Source organism: Homo sapiens, chromosome 2 (assembly GCF_000001405.40).
Source record: "Homo sapiens chromosome 2, GRCh38.p14 Primary Assembly".
Classification (NCBI taxonomy): Eukaryota; Metazoa; Chordata; class Mammalia; order Primates; family Hominidae; genus Homo; species Homo sapiens.
The window spans coordinates 132,025,524-132,043,492 of record NC_000002.12 but is presented as its reverse complement, the minus strand read 5'-3'; the positions used below and the strand labels follow the sequence as shown (position 1 = coordinate 132,043,492).

The window sequence follows — 17,969 nt, the reverse complement described above, 5'->3', positions numbered from 1 at the left end:
CATTCAAAATCATTCACGTACATGGGAGAGTCTAGAAAGTCACATGTATGCATACGTTAAGCCACATGCTGACAAATGTCATAAGAAGACCCTACACTTTTACCTTCGCTGATCCCTCCCCTCAGTGCAGGCTCTGTGCAAGAGTGAACTTGAACTTCACTCAGTGCAAGAGTGAACACACACTTTGTCCCGGCTTTAAAGAACCCAGCACAAAGCCAGTCTGCATGGCCTAGAGACCTATTTTGCTGGATAATGATTACTTGTTTTTCTTTTTGTTTTTGTTGTATTTGCCTGTTTGCTTAGTTCCTGACATACAAGAAAATCAGTCAAAACATTATCTTAACATTTGTTAAGGAAACAAAAAGACTTGGGTGACCACACCTTATAAAGCAAACAGTTTTGTTAATCACTTTGGAAAATTTCACTAAAAAAAAATCCTTAACAATATAATAAGTAAATAAAATTTAAAACCACAGAACGTTAGTATGTTTGTAGGGGGGGGTCTGATTTACAGAGTAACCACATAGTAATTATAATTATTATAATGTCCAGTTTTCAAAAAAAGTTACAAGGCATACAAAGAACGGGAAAGTATGGGTCATTCAAAGGGACAAAATAAATTGACAGAAAATATCTCTAAGGAAACCCAGACATCAAACTTACTAGACAAAGACTTTAAAACAACTCTCTTAATTATACTCAAATGTCAAATGTCAAAAGGAAAACATAAACAAAGAAATGAAGGAATCAGAAAAAAATATTAAAAAGTAGGAATATCAACAAAGAGATAACAGAAATTCTGGAGTGGAAAACTACAATGATAAAAATTTAAAAATCACCAGAGGGATTTAAGAGTATATTTGCACACACAGAAAAAGTCATGAGCTTGAAGATAAGAAAATGGAAAATATTGATTCTGAGAAACAGATAAAAAATGAGCAGAGACTAAGGAATCTGTGGGACATCATCAAATAGACCAACATTCATATTCTACAAGGATAAATTATGCTGTTAAAAACTTTACCTTTCTTTCCTTTCACCTTTCTTTCTTCCTCCCTCCCCCTCCTCCTCCTTTTTACTTTTCTTCCTCTTCCTTTCTCTTCTTCTTTCTCTCCTTCATTATCCCTTTTGCTCTGTTTCTCTTTCTCCCTTTCTTTTTTCTTTTCTTTCAATTTTCTCAATTACTAAGAGATGTTTAAATACCCTTACCATGTTAGTAGATATGGTTATTTCTCCCTTTAGTTCTCTTTTGAGATTTATAGTCACTCTAAGTAAAGAGATAACCCAAACATAAGCCTCACAAACAGGCTTCCATACCGTTCTTAATTTGGTCCTGTAATTCTTCATGTCTGTATTAACCTTCTGATGCTTTTAAGGATGTTTTATAACAAATTGTTTAGTTTTTTCCAATGGAATGTTTATTCTGAATTATCTAATTCATACTGTAAGTATATAGGGAGTTTAATATAAAATTATTAAATATTTGTGAAAGAATGTATTTGTGCATTTAACAAATATGTTAATCCTCAAACTGTTATTGGGCAGCTGAGCATACAGCAATAAAAATAACATAATTTTTATGTGTACAATATTTATGGAATACGTTACTGGAACAAATAAATAATTTAGTTAATAACAGGACAAAGAACAGAAATTGTATACACTATAGAGCATAGTAATGGAATAATGAATGATTAAAGTTATTAATATTAGGTAGAACATGAAGGGTATCTTTGAGAGCAGAACTCAAGGAAGCAAGCAATTCGCCTTATGAGGAAAGAGTTACCTGTGGATAAAGGAGAAACTGAAAAATTTACAAGTCAAGACTTTTTAAGCAAAAACAAAAATATGACTTTTAGTCACCAATTCAGTACAGTGAAAAAAAAGTTGAAGAAGAGATATCTTGGAAGTAAATCATGTTGTGGAAGAGCACATAGGGTTTTGATAATCATGGGATTATTCTGAATTAATTTTAAATGCGATAGGAATATATGAGATAATTTCACCAGAGAATAATATGATTCCGTTTGCATTTCAAAGGGGTGTATCTGGTGCACTGTGTAGAATAAATAGGTTATGTGAGCAAATAAATTGGGAGGCTATTGTAATCCAGAGAAAAAAGGTAGTGACTTAGGTGAGAATGCTGTAAGTATGAGTGGTATTAGTGGTGAGAAGTCGTTAGGCCATGGATGTATTTCATAGGACTGGCCAAGAGAACTGCAGCTAAATTGGAGTGTAGGGAGTGAAATGGAGAACTCAAAGATGACTCTCAGCACTGGAAGGTGACAGCTGTCACTGAAGCATGCTGATGCCTCTTATTAAGAGAGTTACTTGGGAATGGCAAGATCAAAACTTCTCACATTCAAATTTATGAAAAATATTGTTTTCAGAACGAATGACTTTGGGATCAGAAAGCCATCACTCTAATTGACGGTTCCACGACTACACAGGCTCACACTCCCAAGAGCAAAAGTAAATCATCACAAAGGTGCTTCCTGATAATTCTAGAGAATGGAGAATTACTGTAACATCTTTCTGATTTTAGGAGAGGTAGCAGTTCCCTTTTTAGCCTAAACGCTATTTTTTTTAAAGCTCAGCCAAGAGACTCCATTATAATTTTCAAATGTGTGTAACTTAAATTCTCATATTAAATACCACTATGCTTAAATTAGTCAAAACATTTTCCCCATCTACAACTCTATCTTTTCATCGCAATCATTTTCACAAAAGTGACTGCAGCTAACAGACCCTAAAGGGGAAAATCTAGGGTAGGTTATCTGATCTAGTTAGTTTTGAAGACAGGATCTAGAGATTATTTAATATGAAATAGGTCACCTGAAATGAAGTGTTTACTGAAAACAGCTTGGATCAGCCCAGTTTTCTACCACTGAACCATGCATTTGGTTTAAAAAACACAACAACACTGGGGAATATTGGCTGCTTCCAACTGTGTTGAAGGTGTTAAAGAAAAGAGCATAAAATTATAAATGATCATCTGAGGCCTTTATAGTCTCTGCTCAAGAGACTAGAGTCTTCCATTCTTAACGAAACACCCAAATATCTTAATAATTGGGCAAAATCTAAATATCAGAGAAATAATTTTATCTTGAAGATTGTTAAATTATAATGGTGATTCACTACCTTGCCACGTCTCTGAGTCAAAAATTAGATCGTTGTTTAGGAATCAATTGTACTCTGCAACTTGGAAATAGGAAGATTTTAGAAGACTCAAACATTGACTTTCTTGTGTGCAAAAAAAAGACGTATTGACATAAGACAAGTCTTCCCTTGCAAGGATACCTCTAGTGCTCATACACCACCTCTCCTAACGTTAATATAGCTTCCAGATCACTAACCAGTGTCAGAGAGCAGCCTATGCAACTACAAATTAAAAAGATGTCGAACACAGGGTCAAGCCTAGAATAAGAAGTCTTAGCTAATTAAGTATGCTTTTCCCCCCAAATTCATATTAACAAAAACTTGGATATGTCAGAGAATGCATGCTAAGTTCACTCCACCTGGGAGGGAGAAACATAATTTTAAATTAAGAGCTGAAGCATTCTTGTCCTAACAAAAAGCAAGGAAAACGAAATATCACACCACAGGAGGGATTTCACAAATTAGTGTCAACATCAAAACCTTAAAATAGGCAAGGAAAATGCAGATTCACTATTAACTCTTCTACTTGTTTTGTTCAGAGAAGAGATGGTTCTGAGAGAACGACAGTGATTGGTGCTTTAAATTGGTGCTTCTGATCAACTCCTTTAGCTAGAATAAATTGATGAGGATTTTGGCATGTGGTATTAGGGATGGTTATTAATTTTTTCCTCTTGTTTGCATTTTTCAATGTAGTAAATACTAGCTGTATATGGCTACTTAAATTCAAATTAATTGCAATGAAATATACTTAAATATTGAATTTTTTAGTCACTGTTGGTTCATTATTGAATATCTTCAGCTAAGATTTCCTATCTAAATACACTAAGAGGTGGCTTAGTTAACTGGTCGTCCACAAATACTGACGCTGTTGTTAACTCCTGATATATTCTCTGCAAATAGAATATTCATGAGCCTCCTCCTGAAACCAGCAGCCTAGAGATAGTTTTATAAATTGGATACAAGTTGGAAATCTATACTCTTTAAGTTTTTGAAATACTAGCTTCCCAGGGAAGAAAATCAAATTCATAAAATATGTTAGGACAATTTAACTCAAGATGTTCAAAACTGAAATGACATATTCTACAATATGTGATAAAACCACCCCCTAACAACTTAAAGCAAAACAGGGATTGACCTTAAAGACGTGCCTTTTCCTCATCCCCCAGCCAATCAGTTTTCAAATCTTGCATTTTCTTTTGAAAGGTCCTTATCCCCCTAGTCTCTTGTTTCTAGACTTGGCACATATTTAAGTTTGTTACCTCTATCTACTGACTTTACTCTCTTCAAACAGTATCTATGCCTGCCAAATGTGAATATAAAAAACAAATCAGAATGTGCCATTCTGATTTAAACTGCTTATTAGTTAATACCCTCAAGATAACATCTGGGTTCTTAGCTGCACTGAGTCAAGCCAACTTACATCTTTCTTTGTCTTTGGCTGCACTTTTCCTATCACATCACACTCCAGCAATGCCAAGTTGTGCTGGCCTCCTACCTCATTTCTCCTATTTTGCCCCTGCCCCGCCGCGGCTTTTTGCGGCTTTCCGCCCCGGCCGCCGCGGCTTTTTGCCTCCGCCGCCGCTGCTTTTTGCGGCTTTTCGCCCCCGCCGCCGCGGCTTTTTGCGCCTTTTCGCGCCCGCCGCCGCCGCTGGTTTTTGCCGCCGAGGCTCTTTGCCCCCGCCGCCGCGGCTTTTTGCAGCTTTTTGCCCCCGCCGCCGTGGCTTTTTGTGTTTTGCCCCCGCTCCCGCTGCTTTTTGCCCCCTCTCAGCGGCTTTTTGTCGCCGCGGCTTTTTACCCCCGTTAGCGCGGCTTTTTGCCGCCCTAGCTTTTTGTCCCCGCCGCCGCGGCTTTTTGCAGCTTTTTGCCCCCGCCGCCGCCGCGGCTTTTTGCCTCCCGCCGCCGCGGTTTTTTTGCCCCCGCCGCCGCGGCTTTTTGCCGCCGCTGCTTTTTGCAGCTTTTTGCCCCCTGCCGCCGCGGCTCTTTCCCCTCGCCGCCTCGGCTTTCTGTGGTTTTTTGCCCCCGCTCCCGCTGCTTTTTGCCCCCGCGGCTTTTTCCCCCCGCCGCCGCGGCTTTTTGCTGCTTTTTGCCCCCGCAGCCGTGCTTTTTGCAGCTTTTTGCCCCAGCCACCGTGCCTTTTTGCCCCCGCCGCCGCGGCTTTTTGTCCCCGCCGCCGCGGTTCTGAGGGCGGGAGCGGCAGACTCGGCTGCCAGCTCTACTGGCGTCCTGGTAAGGGCACCGCCGAGGGGCGCTCCTGGTCCAGCTCTCCCGTCTCCGGGGTTCCTTGCCTAGGCGCCCGCGCCCCGGGCTCCCCGCCTTGGCCACTGTGGCCTGCATAGAGCGGCGCTGCGCGGGGAGGCTATGGGAGAGAAGAAGGAGGGCGGGGGCGGGGGTGATGGGGTGGCGCAGGGGCCGCGGCCAGCCGGACGCTGCAGCAGTGCGGGCAGCTACAGAAGCTCATCGGCATCTCCATCGGCAGCCTGCACGGGCTGCGCACCAAGTGCGCTGTGTCCAACGGCCTCACCCAGCAGGAGATACGGACCCTGGAGGTAAGGGGTTCGGGGACCCGGGCTGGGCTCGAGGAGCAGCCCGGATACCTCCCTCGGGTCCCCAGTTCACTCCTGGCCGAGTTGCATCCTTGAGCCTGCGTCGCGCCCTTGGAGGCTTCCCCTCCCTCCTTCCCTCGCTGTTGCGGCACCCGGAGGACCCGGGACCAGCCCTCACCTTGGGCAGGATTTGTGGGGCGGGTGCATGGTGGGAACTGGGATGGAGGCTCCAGGGTCCCTTGGGGGAGGTGGGCTGCGTGCCGACATTCCCTTACTCCCCGAATTTCCATCTGATCCAGCCCTCTCATCTTCTAGGTGAGGCCACTGAAGGTCTGAGGGAGAACTGACTTGTCAGGAACTCCTGTTAAGGAGAATTAACAAAGTGTGGTTATTAAAGGAGAACTGAGTTGGGAGTCAGACCTGGAGGACTGCACCCTTGGTTAAGACATTATACCACCTTGAGTCTGGCCTGTTGACTGAAGGTGAGCCACTCCATCCTTGTCTGATTGTGGGGTCTTGACCTCAAGGGGTTTCCTGCAGGGAGAAGCAAATGGGTTTGCTTTCCTAGCTCTGTCCAGTGCCTTAGGGACCCTGAGGACTGAAGAGATTCTTGGAGAGCCATCTGGTGTGTGTCATGGGTGGGCCTTTTTTGAAGGTCAGTCTGCCCAGTGGGCTGGCTCACCCCGAATGAACTCTCTTGAATCTTTGGAGTTGTCTGTGTACTTTTAAGGGCTTCTCAGCTTTGCACCAAAAGATCCCCTGGAAATTAGGTGGGAAAACCTTAACTTTTGTGGGGCCTTGTGTTTGTCTTAAAAGTTCATGCACATGGCCAGGTGTGGTGGCTCCTCACACCTGTTATCCTGTCCTGGATCCCTTGAGTCAAGGAGTTTGAGACCAACCTGGACTATATAGTGAGACCCCATCTCTACAAAAAATAAAATATTAGCCAGGGGTGGTTGTGCGCATCTGTAGTCCCAGCTACTACTGTGGCTGAGGTGGGAGGAGCACTTGAGTCTGCACTGAGCTGTGATCTCACCAGTGTACTCCAGCCTGGGCCACAGAGAAAGACCTTGACTCAAAAAAAAAAAAAAAAAAAAACCAACAAGAAAAATTCTTGAAGATTTTGCATTCTGTCCCACTATCCATTGGTTTTCATGTCAAGATAATGTCAGAAATTCTTTATAATTGCTTCCAGAAGGAGTAGCCTTTTGATCTAGTGCACAGGTGTCCAGTCTTTTGGCTTCTCGGGGTCATATTGGAAGAAGAATGCTCCTGGGCCACACATAAAATACACTAATGCTAACGACAGCTGATGAGCTTAAAAAAAAAAAAAAAAGGTTTGTGCATAATTTTCATGATACCCACCACCACAGATAGGCGGAAAAGTCCTTGTACTAAAAGGGTTGGACACGGCTGATCTAGTATCTTGTCATCCGTTTTGGCTTTCTCCCTGATTCCAGAATATAGGTAGAGATGTAGAGATGTGCTCTCAGGACAGCTGTTGAGATAAAAAAAATTCCTTGTCATTTATTCCCAAGCACAGCTGTTTGTCATTTGCATTGAAAAAGTCTCCATTGAAACTGCTGTCACATATAAAATCTATTTATATGTCTGTATTTTTCTGTTGTCTTGGCCTTTGTGGGCAGTAGTGTGTTTTAACTGAGCAAACTGTCCTTTCAAATAATGAAGCCGAAGTCAACCTACCTGCTTGCCATTTTTCTTCCCCTTCCATTTTTCTAACCTCAGGATAACTGTAAGAATGAATTAAGATTTGTGTTTAAGGCCGGGCACAGTGTCTTAGGCCTGTAATCTCAGCACTTTGGGAGGCGGAGACGGATGTATCGCTTGAGCTCAGGAGTGCAAGACCAGCCTGGGCAACATACTGAGACTCTGTCTTGTATAATTAAATTAAAATTTAAAAAAAGAAGAGAAAAAGACCTGTGTTTAAAATTTAAAACAAGGGGGGAAAGTGTAATGCAAAATGTGGACTATGCCAGCTACGATTGGGAAAACTAATTTTTCATGCAGCGTTATCTGTAGACTTGTATTAGCAGCACACTGGTCATAAGTGTTTTGCTTTCGTCAAATATGAGGTAAGCTACTTTAAAGTGTGGTGGGGCTTTCTTCTGCGTAGCTCCTGGAGGTGTTGATTCCCAATTTAGCCAATTAATTTGGGTTTAGTTTTGATATGGATAAGGGAGATCAGCTTCATTCATGGTGTGCACACAGGTTTGCCAATAAGGAAAAAAAAAAGCAACCTGAATGTTCCTACTCATTAGATGCTATCTGGAGAGCTCCTACCCCACCCCCACCAAGGCCCGGGCCATTAAAAAGACTCATTGCAGCCTTTCTGCATCTCATACTGTATTCTGCAGGATGCTCCTGTGAAAGAAAGTTGTGCTGCATCAGACATCTCCCTCCTGAAGATCCCTCCGGATGAGGATTTGTGTTTTAAAGGTTCTGAGAAGTCCTGCAACAACAGTTCTCAAACTTATTTGTCCAGGGGATCTTTTCTTCCACTGAACGTAGTTGGGGAAACACGGCCTTAAGCCTTGGGCAGAGAAAGAGACAAACTGTTGGCTCACTTACAACCAAGTGTTGTGTTTTATGTTTTAGGTTTTTATGAAACTGAGGTGCTGTTTGAGGTTCTAAATCAAATTGGGTGGTTGAAGAGAGGCTGGTATCCCTGTAGACTTAGCCAGCCATGAGAGGTTGCCTTTTGTTGAAGGAGGTGTTTTACAAAGGGAAATAGGGTGTCTCCTGGGCATCACATTAGCACTTGAATACATGTATCACTGAAATTAAATGAAATGATGAAATAAAATGATGAAATGAAGAAATGATGAAATGAGATGAAAGAAAATGATGAAATGATGAAATGGAGTGATGAAATGAAATGATGAACTGAAATGGTGAAATGAAATGGTGAAATGAAATGAGGAAATGAAATGATGAAGTGAAATGGTGAAATGAAAAGATGAAATGATGAAATGAAGAAATGATATGCAATGATGAAATGAAATGATGAAGTGTAATGATGAAATAATGAAATGAAATGATGAATTGATGAAATGAAATGAAATGACGAGATGAAATGGTGAAATGAAACGAAATGATTAAATGAAATGAGATGAAAAGATGAAATGATGAGATGAAATCATGAGATGAAATGAAGAGATGAAGTGAAATGATGAAATGAAATGAGATGAAATGATTAAATGAATTGATGAAATGGTGAAATGAAATGAGGAAATGAAATGATGAAGTGAAATGATGAAATGATATGAAATGAAGAAATGTGAAATGATGGAATGAAATGATGAAGTGAAATGATGAAATGATGAAATGAAATGAAATGATGAAATATGAAATGAAATGATGAATTGATAAAATGAAATGATGAATGATGAGATGAAAGGATGAAATAATGAAATGAGATGAAAAGATGAATTGATGAGATGAAATGTGATGAAATGATGAGATGAAATGAAATCGTGAGATGAAATGATGAAATGATGAGATGAAGTGAAATAATGAAATTATGAGATGAAATGATGCAATGAAATAATGAAAGGATGAAATGAAATGATGAAATGAAATGGTGAAATGAAATGATGGAATGATGAAATGGTGAAATGAAATGAAATGATGAAGTGAAATGAAATGAAATCATGAAATGGTGAAATGAAATGAAAAGATCAAATGATGAAATGAAGAAATGATATGAAATGATGAAATGATGAAATGAAGTGAAATGATTAAATGATGAAATAATGAAACGATGAAATGATGAATTGATGAAATGATCAAATGAAATGAGATGAAAAGATGAAATGATGAAATGAGATGAAAAGACGAAATGAAATGATGAGATGAAATGAAATCATGAGATGAAATGATAAGATGAAGTGAAATGTTGAAATGAAATGAAATGACAAAATGCAATGATGAGATGAAATGATGAAATAATGAAATGAAAGGATGAAATGAGATAAAATGATGAAAGGATGAAATTAAATGATAAATGAGGAAATGAAATGACAAAATGAAATGACAAAGTGAAATGATGAAAAGAAAAGATGAAATTATGAAATGAAATGTTATGAAATGATGAAGTCAAATGATGAAATGATGAAATAATTGAAATGTTGAATTGATGAAATGATGAAATGGGATGAAAAGATGAAATGACGAAATGAAATGACGAGATGAAAAGATGAAATGAGATGAGATGAAATGATGAGATGAAATGAGATGAAATGATGAAAAGATGAGATGAAGTGAAATGATGAAATGAAATGTTCAGATGAAATGAAATGAAGAAATGAAGTGATGAAATGAGATGAAATCATGAAATGAAATGATGAAATGATGAGATGAAGTGAAATGATGAAATGAAATGTTGAGATGAAATGATGAAATGAAATGATGAAATGATGAAATGATGAAATGAAATGATGAAATGAAATGATGAAATGAGGAAATGAAATGATGAAATAGATGTACCAAAAATACTTATTCATTTTTTTCTTGGCATCTTTCTAAGAATATTTTAGTGAGGTTAATTTCTAGAAATAAATTGCTATTCAGTGGCTATACAGTTGGCCTTTGCACCACAGGGGTTTGAATTGTGCGGGTCCACTTAGCAAAACCAAAAATTCTACATCCTTTTCCACACCCTGCCCATGAAAAGGATGAGGATGAAGACCTGTTTGATCATCTACTTCCATTTAATAACTAGTAAATATATTTTCCTTATGATTTTCTTTTTCTTTTCTCTGGCGTGTTTGTTAAGAATACAGTATATAAGACATATAACATTAAATATGTGTTAATTGACTGCTTGTGTTATTTGTAAGGCTTACAGTAGGCTATTAGTAGTTAAGTTTTGGAGGAGTCAAAGTTTTAGTGGATTTTCTACTGTGCAGGGGGGCCAGCACCCCAACCTCGGTGTTGCTTAAGGGTCAACTGTACATGTTATTTCCTTTCCTGTAAGAGAAAAATGATGAGAAGGTCTTTTCTCCAATAAGTGTATTCAAAATGTAGCAGACTTGAAATGTGTTGGCGCCACCATTTTGCGTCTCACTTTGAAAACTTGTTATTAAAAATCGTACTAAAGCCTACCTTACTTTTCCAACCTTAGGAAAAATGTTACAAAGGAAAGGGGTGAAACCATGCTAGTTTGCCCTGAAATTTGAAATTATCTTTTAAAAATATATTTTTACATTAATTACTTCCAAAATAGAGATCGGTTGCATACAAATGGCAGGTCACCCTAATCCACCCTATGACAGCACTTAGATTCATGAGGAATTGTGCCATCTAGAAAGGGCAGAGAAGAGGAATAGAGTGCTCTGCGTCTTGAAATATAAACATGCACATAGCCACATGCTTTGATTCTGTTGTCACTCTGTACTTACCGCTAGGAAGAGGGCATGTTTGTGTATTTTTATGCTAATTATTATCCAAGTTGTTAATGATTTAGGCTTTCAGAACCATATAAAGATTTTTTTTCCTTTCAGATATAAACTATCGTGCATTGTTCTTCTGATCGTATGAGGGATAAATTTGCCTAAATATTCTTCAGACCATAATAGTATGTCCATATAAATGCCAGTAGCAAGAGTAGAATCAACCACAGCTGCCTTTGTAATTATTTAAAGCACGTGTGCCTATAAGTAATTGGCATTTTATATAATCAAGAATCTTTGATATAATCTCTCAACTATTTGAAACATGGCTCACATATATTAATTTTATATGCAAATATATATATAATATCATTGTATATGAAACTAAATTTTGGACTTTAGAACAGTTTCTTAGAATCTTGACTTAAATGTCTACAGTAATATTTGACTTAAAAAAATTTAGCGCACTGTCACTATGATTCAAAAATTACTACAAAATTATTTTAAAAATTTTTCCACCCGAACATTTACAATATTCTCACATTTGTGGTTGAAACCTATTGTGATCGTTCTTAGAATTTAGATTAAAAAATGTTACAGAAAGTTTGAAGAGAAGCACTTTAGTCAAATTTTAGTTGTTGAAGCATGAAGAAATGGCATTTCATTGACATTTTAAAAACTATTCAGATTCTCTATTTGAATTCAAGAGTTTCAAAGATATCTTATTTTAAAATACCAAAATAGGAATAGAATATGAAGGGCTGGTTATGAGTAATATGATACACTTTTATGAGAGGATGAGATTAAAATAACAATACCTCCTCTCATAGAATAGCCAGCAAGTCTCCACTAAATAACAGTGCCTTGATTTTATAGATGTTTAATCATGGATATTGAGTTAATGTGAACCATTTGTAGACAAAGGAGTTTATTAAGGAATTATATATCTTTCAAGTATTTAGAATAGTGTTGAAATTAAGCCTGCATCCCCACGATTTTCAGAGGTGCTGATGCCTAATAAACTCAACCCCTTGCATGCCAAAATCGGCTTAAAGCCCACCTGTTACCCAAGCTACACTTCAAGCATCAAGGTTCAAAAATGTAATTTTAAATATGCAAGAGTTTGAGGAATTCAGTACTCACACTTTCTTGAACAGTCTATCCAAGTGCATCAAGCAAAATGTGAGAAAAGAAATTTTGACCAAAGGATTGATAGTAGTTGAATACATTTAATAGTAGATCTAAGATTAAAAGGTGAGAGTGAGGGTGAGAAGAGTGTATGAATGCTTTGTGTTCTGACAAAGAGAAAGTAGCACCCATGTCCTACCTGCTTGGTTGCATTGCCAGTGCCCACGGTAGGCCATTTTATCCAGGTTTTTAGGTTTTGTTTTGTTTTTTTTCTTTTCAGGAGAGTTAGTCCAAGACCAATAACTCCATAACTGGTAGAATTGGAAGACTTTAATAGTGCTTAACATTTTCTACATAGCTTTATAACAGTTTTTCTTTTTTTCTGAGAGATTCTTTTCAATATACCCCATCATGGTTGAACTCAAAGTCATTGCTTATTTAAAACCTACAACTGCTTACGTTTTGTAACCTTTGAATTCCAGGTAATTGGTTTTTTGTGCATTTTCTGTATTTTTCTCCATCAGTCTACCTAGATATTTGTTAGATTTAATATTTTAATATTTTTCTGAAAAAGTGAGCTGTTGCATTTTTAAATATATACTCAGTTGCTTTAATTCTGCTTTTTCATGTACTATTTCCTCCTTTTTTTTTTTTTTTTTTTTTTGACACGGACTCTTGCTCTGTCGCCCAAGCTGGAGTGCAGTCGCGTGATCTCTACTCACTGCAACCTCCACCCCCCACGTTCAAACAATTCTCCCACCTCAGCCTCTGAGTAGCTGGGATTACAGGTGCATGCCACCATGCCAGGCTAATTTTTGTATATTTAGTAGAGAGTGGGTTTCACCATGTTGGACCAGGCTGGTCTCGAACTCCTGACCTCAGGTGATCCACCTGCCTTGGCCTCCCAAAGTGCTGGGATTACAGGCATGAGCCATGGCGCCCGGCTATCTCCTTCATTCTTTATGTTTATTTTACTGGTTTTATCTCTCTCTCTCTCTCACTGTTTCTCTCCTTCTCACATTCACTTTGCAGTTGTCAAATAGCCCAGGTGATGTTACAGATTTACTCCTTATAAAAGGAGGCATTACACATTACACATGCATCTTAGTGGCCTTACAAAAGTGTTTGGTTCATTTGTGTTGACTATTCACCTTTAAAATATTTCAATATTAATTAAAACAGCTTCCAACCAATATTATTAGACTTATGTTTCTAGCTTTCTTTTTTGTATTGATATCTACCTTCATTGCTGTTTGTTTAGGAAATATATTCTGTGTCACGTTATTTCCGTGAAAATTGTTTGAATTTGTGGTATGGTCTAGAAAATGTTAATTTTTGTAAGTATTCTGTATGAACATGAAAATAACATGAATTATAATATTCATGTTCCTTATATAACATTTGCCCTTTTTAAAATCCACTAGCTTCTTTTAAAACTTACTCTTTTAATTTTTTCTTTTATCTATTACTGAAAGATGTGTGTTTGAAATGTCTAATGATTTGGGGGCTTATCCATTTCTACTTACTTTCTGATATTTTTGCTTTATATAATTTGACTATCTAAATACGTGTGTGTGTGTGTGTGTGTGTGTGGTGTGTGTGTATATATGTATATATGTATCAGGCTAATGCACATTTAAGTCATCACATCTTCTTAATAACTTAAAACTTTTATCACACTGGTTAGACTAACTTATTTTAATAAATGTTTCTAACTTACATTCTATTTTGTCTACATAGCAACTTTTTAAAAAATTATATTCATGTAGTATGTTTGTATGTATATCATATATACACAGTATCTGTATTGTTTGAACTTCAAAGTTTCTGTAAATTTATATATTAGTTGCCTGTCTTGTAACTATGATAGAGACGGATTTTTTTAATTTTGCCAATCTTTGTATTTTAACAAAAACATTGTCTACTTAGGTTTAAGTTAATCTTTGATCATTTATACGTAATTTGTTTTATTAATTTGTTGTATATATATATGTATATAATGTGTCATTTTCTCCTATCAGTTTCTGTCTTCTTGTTTTTAAATTATGACTTTTATTTTTATTGTTTTCATAGATACAACAGAGAAATGCATAATGTCCACTGAATTTATTAAAGTTCCAAAATCGGTCGCGCGCAGTGGCTCACGCCTGTAATCTCAATACTTCGGCAGGCCGAGGCGTGTGGATCACGAGGTCAGGAGTTGGAAACTAGCCTGACCAACATGGTGAAACCCCGTCTCTACTAAAAATACGAAAATTAGCCAGGCATGGTGGCACGCGGCTGTAATCCCCGCTACTCAGGAGGCCGAGGCAGGAGAATTGCTGGAACCTGGGAGGCAGAGGTTGCAGTGAGCGGAGATGGCACCACCGCATTCCAGCCTGGGTGAAAGAGTGAGACTCCTCCTCAAAAAAAAAAAAAAAAAAAAAAAAGTTGCAAAGTCATACTCACCTTTCTGCTCTTGTCAGACAATTAAGGGGTCATTGAATACTTCAGCCCTAATAATTTGCTTCCTAACATACATATTGCAGTGCTTATCTAATTTTAAATATCTTTTTGTTTCAACACCTAATTTTTTATTTAGATCTACCTGTATGTTTATTTTGCTCTGTATTCATTCTTTGATTTCAGAACTTCAACCTTTCTGAAGCATGTTTTCAGAGTTTCTTTTTAGTTTCTTTAGTGGAATTCTGCTGGTGGTGCTTTGTTTTTTCTCTCTAAATATGTTATTTAGCCATAGGTTGATGAATATTTTTCTTGGTTGAGAATTTCAGAATGGCATTATTATTATTAACAAATAATATTTTTTATTTTACCTTTCATTCTTTCCGATTTCAATATGATTAAAGGTAATTTGATTTTTCTAGTGCTAATTGAAATATTTTTCCCTTCCTGATTCTTTGCTATTTCTCTAGGAGATACGTAGGTGTAGGTTTATCTCCATTGTAGCTTGCTTAGCATGCATGGAATTTTTCAATATGCGGATTAGTGTCTTACAAAAGTCTAGAGAACTTTCAGCCAAAATACCATCACATATTGTCCCTTCCCAGTTCCCTTCTTCTATGAGAACACTCACTAAACACATGCTACACTTTCTCACGGTATCTTCCTTGTCTCTTCATGATTCTGTCCACATTTTGCATTTTTTTAAATTTTCTGTGATGCATTGTGAAATATTTATTAACTCTCACCATGGCCATGTCTAATCTGATGAGTTCATTTTTGAGTTTTTAATTTAAAATACTATATTTTTATACAAGCTACTTTACAAATTTTCTACATCAATTTTTTAGTCTCCTAAAATATATTCTTTTTTAAAAAAAATTTTTTAAAGCAAATGTGCTTTATAATCTAACAGTGATATTTCTACTAATGAACCTTTGTGGATCTGTTTGTACTCTTTTTCTGCTTTCCTTTCAAACGGTGGTATACCATTTCCTTGTGTACTTAGATGCCTCTGAATGACAAATATTTATTTTTCTCTGAAAATTATTTTTGTGCACTTTTGCGGATTAGTAAGAAGAAAATTTGCCAAAGAGAATTTGAATTTTTTTGTGAGTCTACTAAACGCACCACCATTCTGGGACCACATTATATTAATTCTTGGCCTAAAGGTGTTTGGACATATGTTTGGACTGCACATTTAAACAATTTTTAAATTAATTGCTGTAAATCATTAATGATTGAATTTCTTTAAATCTGTCCAATCTCAATCATTTTTATTTGCCATTTCCAGGGAATGTGAAATGGGACTAATTTACCTCTGATTCTTCTTTATACTGAGGATAGAAACTTTGGTCCTAGCTTTAGGGAGGAGCTCCTGTGTGATGCCCTATCTTAGGAAAAACTATGTATTTCTTTACTGTCCTATGTGATGTATGACAGTAGGAATCTGCACTCATTCATTTTGGTACATGTCCGTAGGGCAAAATCAGTTTCGGTGTTTAGGTATATTTTGTCTGCTCCCTGCATTCCCATGGTTTTGACCTTATATTTTACTTTTTTTTGTGAACATACCAATGCTTCAATTTTTTTCCAGTAATATAATCCACTAGACTATAAGAAAGAGAAAAATTTTGATTAAACACAAATTTCATGTTTTCCTACTCTAATTGGCTTTTATGTAAAAATACAGGTAAAATTTATTTGTGCTTTTTTGCTATTTCTATTTTGCTATTCTCTGTTTGTCTATGTCTTCTCCACGTTGACACAATTAGGGAATTTTGTACACTCTTGTGCCAACTGCTTTGATAGTAACAAAATGTATTTCTCAAACTCCTAGGTATAAAACTCAAGTATCCACAATTTAAGTTCTTTTTCCCTCATTTCTATTATGTTTCCAGTCTCAATAGAAATCGATGCCAATCCAGAAATACAAGCATTATTCTAATACTTCTCACACATTACAGATATAGATTAAATTTTCTAGATCTCCTTAAATACTATCATTTTTCACTACTTGTATCTTAACTGTTAAGTTCAACATTTTCTATAATATTAATATATTGTGAAAATTTCCTTACTTTCTTATTTGTCCCAGGTTCAATGTTTTGCAGTCTCTACCTCACCCTGTGAAGCATAAACATTGTACATGCTGTACAAATAATACATAGTTCATGTGCTTAGAGATTGCACAATTTTTATTTGGTTGACAATAGCTAATGTTTTCTTCTTCATTTTCTATTTCCTGATTTTTCTTTATTTAGCATATACTACATTATCATAAAAATAAGAACGTGTTACAAACTAAAGCAAAAGCAACCCTAGGAATAAAATACACAAATGAAATATATAAACATACAATTAGATGTACCACGTACCCTTCTAATTTATTTAGACATTTAATTTTAGTACAATTTTAATTAAAGTGTGTGTATTATCTGTCATCGTCTTAGTATTTTTTATATAACAAACTTTGTAAATCAAAAAGTCTCAATGTCATTATAAACTATCTTGGCAGAGGTTGATCTCCAAGGAATAATTTCTCTCCCAAATTATGCCAATCAGAATTTCACTCTAATTCTTTTAATCATTTTCAGAGGAATAATAAATGTGAAAATTGTTCAAGGTACTTGTAGTTCAAGTACATTTTGACAGGTGTAAAACTGTAGACAGACTGATACAAACATATTCTAATTGACTCAAAAGAATATGGGACCTGTTTTAAAATCTTATGTAATATTTTGTTTTTAACAGTAAATTGAAGATTTAAAGATTAAATTATTCTCTGGATAGAATAATTTAATCTTTAAATCTTCAACTTACTGTTAAAAACAAAATATTACATAAGGATATGCTTATAAAAATAATTCGCAACTAGCTTTTCAATTCAGAAGTATATGTGAAAAATCATCAGCATCTAATGGATTTCAAGGAGAAATGGGTTAGTAATTTATTCCGTATGTCTCAATTTTCTCTAAACCCAAGGCTTCCTTTAAAATAATTGTAGGCATTTAAGAAACCATGTAAACTAAAAAGAAGAAATTGTGACACTGCCGCTTAGGTTTTTTAAATCTTTGGACATGAATCAATATATTTTTTAAATTTTATCTTAATTAGACATGGTGAGTTCACCATCTTCCTTTCAGTATAGCATCCAAGCTGATTATCATAGGTTACAAGTTCAACTATCAACTGTGTTCTGAGAGTCTAAAAAAATAAATGAATGTATTTGTTTGGGTATTCTTAAAGCAGGAGTGAGGACACAGCGAAAGTGAGACAAGGAAGAGAG

General features: G+C 36.6%; 1 protein-coding gene and 1 long non-coding RNA gene across 3 annotated transcripts in view; both read left to right on the top strand.

Moving 5' to 3' along the window:
- The first annotated feature begins 1,770 nt into the window (after positions 1-1,770).
- Positions 1,771-17,124, top strand: LOC124908048 (extensin-like). The gene is made up of 4 exons (XM_047446884.1): positions 1,771-1,909; positions 4,537-5,705; positions 6,018-6,184; positions 14,315-17,124. Exons 1-2 carry the CDS (start codon positions 1,771-1,773, stop codon positions 5,493-5,495), a joined length of 1,098 nt encoding a protein of 365 aa, XP_047302840.1. The 3' UTR covers positions 5,496-5,705; positions 6,018-6,184; positions 14,315-17,124.
- Positions 5,593-17,969, top strand: part of LINC01945 (long intergenic non-protein coding RNA 1945) — a 54,115-nt gene continuing 41,738 nt past the window's right edge. Inside the window, exons 1-2 of one of the 2 annotated variants that reach the window (NR_146485.1) lie at positions 5,593-5,705; positions 6,018-6,184. This is a non-coding gene — a long non-coding RNA (long intergenic non-protein coding RNA 1945). Of the gene's footprint in view, positions 5,706-6,001; positions 6,185-17,969 lie in introns of both variants that reach the window. The other variant, NR_146484.1, reaches the window with a different exon arrangement.